The 10,532-nt window shown below is 33.1% G+C and overlaps 1 protein-coding gene across 10 annotated transcripts in view; it reads right to left on the bottom strand.

The window, feature by feature from the left end:
- Positions 1 to 1,158: 1,158 nt before the first annotated feature.
- Positions 1,159 to 10,532, bottom strand: part of ADAD1 (adenosine deaminase domain containing 1) — a 50,774-nt gene continuing 41,400 nt past the window's right edge. For all 10 annotated transcript variants that reach the window (NM_139243.4, XM_005262743.4, XM_024453888.1 and 7 more), the window contains 2 exons: positions 9,553 to 9,682; positions 1,159 to 1,317 (listed from right to left, as the gene is read on the bottom strand). In NM_139243.4, the coding sequence (NP_640336.1) occupies positions 1,204 to 1,317; positions 9,553 to 9,682 (244 nt within the window). In that variant the 3' untranslated portion in view covers positions 1,159 to 1,203. The remainder of the gene's footprint in view (positions 1,318 to 9,552; positions 9,683 to 10,532) is intronic.

Genomic DNA, 10,532 nt, shown 5'->3' with positions numbered 1-10,532 from the left:
TTTATTAATATTGTGTTTATTTTAATCCACATGAAACTGCCCATATTTTGATCCTTTTTAATCCACCAAAAAGGCAACTTCACATGATTCAACCTAGTATCAGTAGAGTTTAGATTACTGAAAGATGTCTTTCCAGCATGACTTCACTGTTCATTAACTAAATTCTACCATACTTTTAGAACAGACAATAAACCAAAACAATTTATATAAACCTCGTCTGTGATTATAATAGTTCATGTGGGGTAGTTGTGAGATTTATAAGTTTAGTAAAGATCTAAGGTAAGGGGGACAAACTCTGAGAACCAATCATGTTTAATATATCTGTGATTGTAAACCAAGGAATAGGATGTAGAAGTAAGGGACAAACAATTTCACTAAAGATACTTATCCTAACTCAAAAGTAAGTAAACTTTCCCTTTTTTCTTTCTAATCACTGTATAAACACATACAGATATAAAGCTAAGCAGTCTTTTACTGACTTAGAAATCCCTGTTAATCTAAATTATAAATAATTAAATCACATTTGGTACAGATAGATCTTGTAGAACAGTTGAAAATGGGCAATCTTATTTAATGCACATACGATAATCCTCTATTAATAGAATAACTACTTTATCAAACTATTCCTTAACATGGTTAATATTTTTCTACATTTATATGTGCAGTTTGCATTCATGAACTCCTTTAACATGAGAGCTGTTTCAGGTATTGTTTCTTTACTAACACCTAGCATGGTGACTGGCAAATATTAGGCAGTCAAATGTTTGTTGAATTCATCAATGAGTACAAATCATTATTTTTATTCTTGACTTCCAATATTTAATTTTTAAAAAACTGAGTGAGATGCCAGGATACAATGTTGAATATGGTAGCCATATGGACAGCTTTAAAGCAAAAACTTAAAAGGAAATCTCTATTAAACTACAAAAAGGAAAATGGCTTTACAATATCTATCAAAATAAATACAAAATGGCTACATATTCAAACAGGTAAGTCATTTTCTGAGAAAATGAAAAAGTAAAAAGCCCTAATGTTTCAATGTAATTTGGCAGGAATATTTAGAAATTTTCAGCAATCATTGCACATTGCTGAATAAGACTCTGATTCTGAAAGTTGAAAACCACCAATATTTTAAAAACATTTTTACTAGTCAAAACACACCAAACAAAACAAGATTTTTAATGTGATAATGGATTGCCTATTTCACATGTTAAATTGCTCTATGCAGGGAGATTTCACAATCCAGGATCCATAGCCATGTTGTTGTAAGTAGGATTTCAACTTACATTTAGCTTCTTGATAGGAGGCAGACATACACTAGAGAAGAAAGAAAAAATGAATTATAGAAAATAGGCAGCATTTGATTGCTGAAAAGTAGCCCCAATACTGTTTCTTTAGCTTGAAATTTAAAAAAGTTAATCAAAGTCTTTTTTAATTCCTATATTTTAATATTTTTGAAGCTAAAAAATTTCCTTCCCAACACTCCTAAAGAGCAATTATTCTCCTTTTTTTTTTTTTCCTAAGAGCCAAGGTCTTGTTCTGTCATGCAGGTTGGAGTATGGTGGCATGATCACTGAATTCCTGGGCTCAAGCCATCTTCCAGCCTCAGCCTCCTGAGTTGCTAGGACTACAGGCATGCACCACCATGCCCTGCTATTTTTTTTTTATTTTTTGCAGAGGCAAGGTCTTGCATGTTGCCTAGGGTGGTCTTGAACTCCTGGCCTCAAGTGGTCCTCCCACCTTGGCCTCCCAAAGCTCTGGCCAGGCATGAGCCACCACACCTGGCCAGTTTTTCTTCTTGTTCTTTTTTTTTTTTAACATTTTAAATTAAAAGATTAATCATACTAATTGCAGAAAATTTGAAAAACAGACAAAATATAAAGAAGGAAATAAAAATTATCGGTAATCACAAAACTCGATGGTGGCAGATAAAACTAATGGTGGTAGATAGCCACCATTAATATTTTGGCGAATTTTCATTTTTTATAAATGAAAATATAAATGAACTTTTAACAAGCTGGTTTTATTGAGATACAATTTACATACCATGAAATTCATCCATTGTTAAGTGCATTGTTTGGTGTTTTTTAATGAATTCATAGAGGCATGTAAATATCAGCATAGTCCAGTTGTGAAACAAATCCCTCACCTCTAAAAAGTTCCACTGTACTCACCTGCAGTCCTGGTGCCAGTACCAGCCCTAAACCCAGACAACCATGAATCTACTTGCTGTCTCTAGAGTTTTGCTTTTTCTAAAAAATTCATATAAATTAACTAACACAATAAGGATCCTGTTATGTCAGGCTTCTTTCAGTTCATTTACGTTGTTTCATGTATCAGTAGCTTGTTCCTTTTTATTGCTGATTAATATTCCATTGCAGGGGTATAATATTCCATTGTAGGGGTATAACACATTTTGTTTATGTATTCACCAGCTGATTAACATTTGAATTGCTTCCAGTTTTTGGCTTTTCTGAATAATGCTATTATAAACATGCATGTAAATACCGGTGGAATTGCTGATCACACATTTACCATCTTAAGAAAATGCCAAACTGTTTTCCAAAGTGGCATTTTCTCATAGTCTGTAGTTTGTATTTTCATTTTCTTAATGATGAATTTTGAAAAGCAAGCATTTTATTTTGGAGTCAAATGATCAATTTCTTTTTGGGTTATACTTTTGGTATCACATCTAAGAAATTTGCCTAATAATGTAAATATTTTCTAATTTATATTTAATAATGTAAATATTTTCTCATATTTTATTTGAAAGTTTTATAGTTTTAGCTCTTACAGTTAGATCTAAAGTCCACTTTGAGTTAATTTTTGTGTATGACTGACATAAAGATCTAAGTTAATTGTTTTACCCACACATATCCCACCATTTCAGCACTATTTGTTGAAAAAATGATTCTCCCATAGAATTGGCACTTTTGTACAAAAGCAATTGATCATATGTGTATAGGTTTATTTCTGTTCCACTGATCTATATTTCTATTATTACATCAATACATTGTCTTAATTACTATAGCCTTATTGTAAGTTTTGAAAGTAGGTAAGTTTTCCAACTTTCTTCTTTTTCAAAATTCTTTTGGTTCTTAAATGGCCTTTGGATTGCGCTGGGTGTGGTGGCTTACACCTGTAATCCCAGCACTTTGGTGGGTGGAGCACTTGAGGTCAGAAGTTCGAGACCTGCCTGGCCAACATGGTGAAACCCCATCTCTACTAAAGATACAAAAAATTAGCCGGGCGTGGTGGCGGGTGCCTGTAATGCCAGCTACTCGGGAGGCTGAGGCAGGAGAATCACTTGAACCCAGAAGGCAGAGGTTGCAGTGAGCCGAGATCATACCATCACATTCCAGCCTGGGTGACAGAGCAAGACTCCGCATCAGGAAAAAAAAAAAAAAAAAAAAAAAAAAGGCCTTTGGATTTCCATATCAATTTCACAATCAGCTTGTCAATTTCTACACAAAACCCTGCTGGAACTTTAATTTTGCATTGAAACTATAAATTAATTTGGAGAGAAGTGACACCTAACAATACTGTTTTCCAATGCATGATGATGGTACATCTCTCCATTTACTTAGGTCTCCTTCAATTTCTCTCATCTATGTTTCATCATTTCCAGTGTACAGGTCTTCCATTTCTTTTGTTAAATTTATTCCTCTGTGTTTACACACGAACACACACACACACAAATGTACACGTTTGGTGCTATTGTGGATGAAGCTGTTTTCTCAATTTTTTGAGCATTCATTCCTAGTATATAAACAATTTATTTTTCTATATTGCTCTTATATCTTGTGACCTTGCTAAAGTCATATATGATCCAGTTGTTTGTTTTTGGTAGTTGCCAAAGTATATTTTACCTACAAGATGATACAATTTAGGAATATTTCTTCATCCTTTACAGTATAGGTACCTTTTAATCTCTTTTTCTTTCCGTGCTGCACTGGCTAGGACCTAGAGAACAGTGTTGAATACAAGTGCTGAGAGCACACATTCTCGCCTTCTTCCCCAATCTTGAGTAGGGAAAGGAGTTATTCAGTCTTTTCACCATTAAGCAGAATGTCAATGGTAGGCTCTTCATTGATGCCCTTTATGAAGGTGAGGAAGTTCACTTCTATTCCTTGTTTGTTCAGTGTTTTTATTGTGAATGGGTGCTGGACTTTGTCAAACGCATTTTGTATGTCTTTTGAGATAATTATACAAATTTTAAACTTGAATTTATTCATATGGTGTGTTACATAAAATAATTTTCTGATCTCAAATCAACCTTGCATTCCTGGTATAAACCACCTTGGTTGTGGAGTATAATCCTTTTTGTATGTTGCTGAATTTGGTTTGTCAATATCTTGCTAAGGATTTTCACATTTATTTTTATGAGAGAGATTGGTTTGTAGTTTTCATTTCTTGTAAGGTTTTCTTGCCCACTTTTGGTACCAGGGTAACACTGGACTTGTAAAATGAGTAGAGAAGTGTTTTCTCCTCCATTTTCTGAAAGAGCTTTTGTAGGATTTGTCTTATAGTTTGCTTATATGTTTGACAGAATTCACCAGTGAAGTCATATATGTGTCTGAGATTTTCTTTAGGAAAATAATTTAATTAGTAATTTGATTTCTTAAGTTCTATTTGGATATTCTATTGTTAAGTCAGTTTTTATGATTTGTGTCTTTCTAGGAACATGTCCATTTCATCTAATGTGTCTGCTGACAAACAGTTGTTCATAATCCCTTATAATAATTTTAAGCTTCTTAAGGTCTGTAGTGATAACCACCTTTTTTAAAATTCCAGATTTTGATAATTTGTGTTATCTGTTATTTTTTTCTTGGTTAATCTAGCTAAAGGATTACCGAGTTTAACTTTTTAATGAACCAAATTTAGATTTTTTCCTACTATTTTTTTCTATTTTCAATTTCACTGATTTCTATTCTGATTCATTACATTTCATTATTTCCTTCCTTCCACTTACTTTGATTCTGATTTGCTCTTCTTCTTCTGGCTTCTTGAACTGGAAGCTCCAATAACTGATTTTTAAGATTCTTTTCTAACACAAGCATTTAAAGCTATACATTTCTAAGTACTTATTTATATAGTCATTCCTTGGTATCCATGGGGAATTGGTTCGAGGACCCCCTAGAAATACCGAAATCTGCAGATGCTCAAGTCCCTTATATAAAATGGCATGGTATTTGCATATAACCTAGGTACATTCTCTCATATACTTTAAATCATCCCTAGATTATTTATAATACCTAATACAATATAAATTCAATGTAAATAGTTGTTATACTGTATTTTATTTGTATTATTTTTATTTTTGTATTTTTTTTTTTACTTTTCCTTTTCTTCCCCCAAATATTTTCGATCCATAGTTGGTTGAATCTGAGGATGCATAACTTATGGATACAAATGGCCACCTGTATTCCATAAATTTTAATATATCACATTTCACTTTCACTTAGTTCAAGATATTTCTTAGTTTTCCTAATAATTTCTTCCTTGAACCATGAGTTATTCAGAGGCAAGTTAACTTCCAAATATATAGCAATTTCTCATATTTCATTCTGTTCTTGATTTCTAATTTAATTCCACAGTGGTTAGAACAACTTGGCATGATTTTAATCCTTTTAAGATTACTGAGACTTGTTTTATGACCTATGCTGAAGAATGCTCCATGTGGGCTTGAAAAGAACATATATTCTGCTGTTGTGTAGAGTGTTTTCTACAGGTCAGTGAGTTTTGATTGGTTGGTAGTGTTCAAATATCCTATATTTTTACTGATTTTCTGTGGAGTTGTTCTATCAATTACTGACAAAGGAGAATTAAAACCAACTACAGTTGCTGAATTGTCTATTTTACTTTACAATTCCATCAGATTTTGCTTGTGTATTTTACGGCTTTGTTGTTACACCCACATACACATATCTTTCTGATGTATTGACCTTTTTACCACTGTAAGATGTTGCTCTGTCTCTAGCAATATTTCTCCTCTTCATGTATATTTAATATTAATATAAACATTCCAGCTGTCTTGTTATCATTTACATGATAGGTCTTTTTTCATCCTTATAACTTGCAATTTATTTGAGACTGAATTTAAAATGTGTTTGTTGCAGACAGCATATATTTGAATCAGGCTTTTTTTTAACCCAATCTGACAATCTGTCATTTGACTGGAGCAGTTAGTCTACTTTATTGTAATTATTGATATGGTGAATTTATATCTGCCATTTTACTATGTATTTCTCACATCTTATGTCTTTTTACAATTTCTCTTCTTTTTCCTTACTGTCGTATAGTTTAAGAAAAATGTTTTACTGAACTATTTTAATCCTTCTGTTGGTATTTTATCAATAGTTTTTCATTTATTTTCTTCATGGTTACATTAGGAATTACAATATACCTCTTTACCTTACATATTTGATTTCAGATTCATACTGGCTTATGGTAAAACAGCAACTTTATTTCAATATAGAGCGATTTCTTACCAAATCCTTTGTTATATTGTCATATATACTGCATCTAAGTCATAAACTCAACAACACAGTGTTGTTTTAAACAACTTTTTAGAAAGAAAATAAGAGCAAATATATAGACATGCACGCACACATACTCATAGGTCTCATGTTTATCCACATAATTATCATTTTCAGTATTTATTATTCCTTCCTGTGGATTTGCTATCATCTGGTATAATTTTTTCCAAGCCTCAAGTACTTTCTTTGGAATTCCATTTAGGGAAGTACTGCTAACAACACATTTTCTTAACGTTAGTTTAACCTGTGAATGTTCTTATTTTGCTTTTATTTCTGAAGGATTATTTTCCTGGACATAGAATCCTTGGTTGCCAGGATTTTTCCTTCAGCACCTTGAACCTGCCATTATACTGCCCTTTGGGCCTCCACTGTCTCTTTTATGACAGCTTTGTTAAGATATAATTCACGAGTCACAAAATTTACCCTTTAAAGTGTACAATTCAGCTTTCAGTATATTCAATAATTTGTGCAGCCATCACCATTAATTTTAGATCTTATCCATCATCCCAGAAAGAACTTTGTATCTATTAGCAGTCACTCCTAATTCTTCCTCCTCTAGCACCTGAAAACCACTATTTTCTGTCTCTATGCATTTGCCTATAATAGACATTTCATATAAATCAAACCATATGATATGGGGCCTATGCATTCTTTCACTTGACATAATATCTTATTGTATCTGGGCTCTCAATTATATTCCACTGTCTATATGCCAGTACCACACTGTCTTGATTACTGTAGTTTTATAGAAAGTTTTGAAATTAAGAACTATGTATTTTTCAACTTTTTTTCTTTTTCAAATTTTTTTGGCTATTTTGGGATGGCCTCCACTGTTGCTAATAAGAAATCAACACATTAAGCCTTTGTAAAACTTCTACCATCTTCTGATCAACTTGTATGTGAAAGAGAATGTACTGAATGTTACAGTCAGCTCTCAAGTATCCCTTGGCTTGTATCCTTGATGGGCTCTCTTGGGTATTCCCTGCACATGAGTGTAGTTTTTCAGTCAGCCAGGAAAATATGAAGAATTTACCTCAGCCCTTTCAGGGCTCTCTCATTTTCCAAATCTCCTTGTTAACTTGCTAGTTGGCCTACCACTTGCCTCCAACCAGGATGGCAACCTTGGGCCAGCAAAGTTACCAGTTTTCCCCATTAATTTCCTACCAAGTTTGGCATTTAAGCCAACAAAACTGCAAACTTTCATTCCCCTGTCCCAAATCAAGTATACCTCCTCTGAAAGCAAAGCTGCTGCTTTTGGTGGTAGCCTCACTGGGTCAAAAAACTACAGTTCTTGGCATTGAAACCAGCAGAGAGGAAGAAAATGAGAATGAGAAAATGAATGAGAAAAGCCTTGGGCAAGGCCATGTACTCCTGTAATTCTTGCTCAAAGTAATAGCAGTTTTTCCTTCTTCTTCTTCTTCTTCTTTTTTTTTTTTTTTTTTTTTTTAAAGAGAAATAGGGTCTTGCTCTGTCCCCCAGGCTGAAGTGCAGTGGTGTGATTATAGCTCACAGCAGCCTTGAACTCCTGGGCTCAAGTGATCCTCCCACCTCAGCCTCCCAAGTAGCCAGAACTAGAGCTGTGGGCCACCATGTCCAGCTAATAATAAGAGTTTGTGAGGAATACACACTTTTTAATGTTTTTTCTGCCTTTTGTCAATGTCCAGAGTTATGGAAGGAAGTTTTGACAATTTTGTCTGGTTTTCTACTTGTTTTTATAGTGATTTACAACTTCTTTATGCCACAAAACTAGAAATAGTCTAGAAAAGCTTTTATACTTAAAAATATGTGATTATGTATACATACACCTGTAATTAATGTAACGGCTTTACAGGCTGTAATTATACAGGTTGAGCATTAAGTTGGTAAAATTGGTAAAATTAAAAGACTTTCATATAATGCTGTATCATTATTGGCATTAGGATAGCAAAACAATTTACATTTAATATTTAATAATGGTAACATGGAAGTATGTTCATGTCAGCCAGGCACGGTGGCTCAAGCCTGTAATCCCAGAACTCTGGGAGGCTGAGGCGGGTGGATCACCTGACGTGAGGAGTTCAAGACCAGCCCGGCCAACATGGCGAAACCCCGTCTCTACTGAAAGTACAAAAATTAGCCCAGCATGGTGGTGTGCACCTATAATCTCAGCTACTCAGGAGGCTGAGGCAGGAGAATTGCTTGAACCCAGGAGGCAGAAGTTGCAGTGAGCTGAGATCGTGCCATTGCACTCTAGCCTGGACAACAGAGTGAGACTCCATCTCAAAAAAAAAAAAAAAAAAAAAGGATGTTCATGTCATATCACATAGAAAGAAAAAGTAGATTAAAACATACCATACCCAATATGGCCTTATTTTTAAACAGATACATACACAAATACGTATATATGAGAAGGAACTGAAATAACATGCTCACATTAAAAGACTGAGTATTAACTTTGAATAGTAAGTGGAATTACAAGTATTAATAATATTTTTTCTGTATTTTTAAAACTTCTTCAAATTTTTGACTTAAACTTACATTATGTTTATGTAAAATATATTTTGGAAGAGAGAAAAAAAGGCTATGTACCTTACCTACTAAATCAGGTTCAAATCAAGATGCTGAAATTAAAGTTTTTCTCACAACTTTAAAATAGAAAAATTCATATATCTTAAATAATATATTCTTTTAGAATACTTAACATTCTATAGTTAGTACAATTAATACCATATACAGAATAAATTTTATTAACATTTTGTTTCTCTGGTATGACATAGCAGGTTTTAAGTGCTATGTAACCTACACTGTCAAAATAAGTATATACCATACTAAAATGGCTACTTTAAATGGCAATACTTATTTACATATCTAATTTCTGACATGTTCATTTAAAAACCAATTTTACCATTACCTGGTAATATCTTATATTCAGGAAGTATTCAACAAACTTTTGCTAAGGATAACCATTTTAAAATGACCACATTAATGTCTTAAATTTTATTCCTATGATAACTTTATTCCTTTAAGGACTTACCTTAGCTGCATGATATGTACCAGCTTCAAGTAATTCTTTTTTAGCTTCTTTGGCAAGCAGGTTAAACCGACTTAACATTGCAGCCTTACAAAGCCGACTTGCCATTGACATACCACTTTTAAATGGGGAACTAAGCAGAGAGAAATAAAATTTTTTAAATTTCTTTTTCAGTAATTTATGTTGGCAATTGTATAGATTAAAATCAATATGGATCTACAAAATATTTCTTGATTATTTGCAATATACATAGTAATTTTTTTTTTACATAAGAGGCATTCTTAATATTTACTTTCTGAAGTAAATTTCTTAAATTACATTTTAAATTATTTAGTATTGCATCAAAAATTAATGTAGAAGATTGACCTTGGAACATTTCTATTGTATGAAGCAAAATTAACCTATGATGATACAAATTAAACAGCAGTTCTATGAGGGATTCACTGGAAATGGGTATGGAAATACTTTCTGCATTTTGACTAGAATGATGGTTACATAGGTATACAAATATATCAAAATTAATGAAATTGTATAATCTATTTTGTGTTTCACTGCAAGAAGTTTTGGCTCAATAAAAGTGTAACATATACACATAACCTATGTCACAAGCCTTCCTGTATGTGTATATTATGTGCATGTAGATGTGTAATTTGGGTTTCTAATGAAAGTGGGTCCCTAGATCATGAACATTTTTGCTACTGTAACTTTTCCCCTTTATTGTATCTTCTCATTAGTTGTTCTTAGGATAGATAACAAAAACAGTCAAAATCCTTCATTCCTCCTAGTTTCCAGTTATTTGCAATGTGACTTTTCAGATCCTCACATCAACAGGCATGGCTGATTTTCCCTTCCCTTGAATTTTAGTAGCCTTGTGATTTGTTTTAGCAAACACAATAGACAGTGTGATAATTCTGAATCTAGGCCTGGAGATACCTTGTGTTCTTATTTTCTTGGCACTGCTGCCTCTCCCATGTGACCCTGCT

This window comes from Homo sapiens, chromosome 4, assembly GCF_000001405.40.
Source record: "Homo sapiens chromosome 4, GRCh38.p14 Primary Assembly".
Classification (NCBI taxonomy): Eukaryota; Metazoa; Chordata; class Mammalia; order Primates; family Hominidae; genus Homo; species Homo sapiens.
The sequence above is the reverse complement of the archived record's forward strand: the minus strand, read 5'-3'. Positions and strand labels throughout refer to the sequence as shown.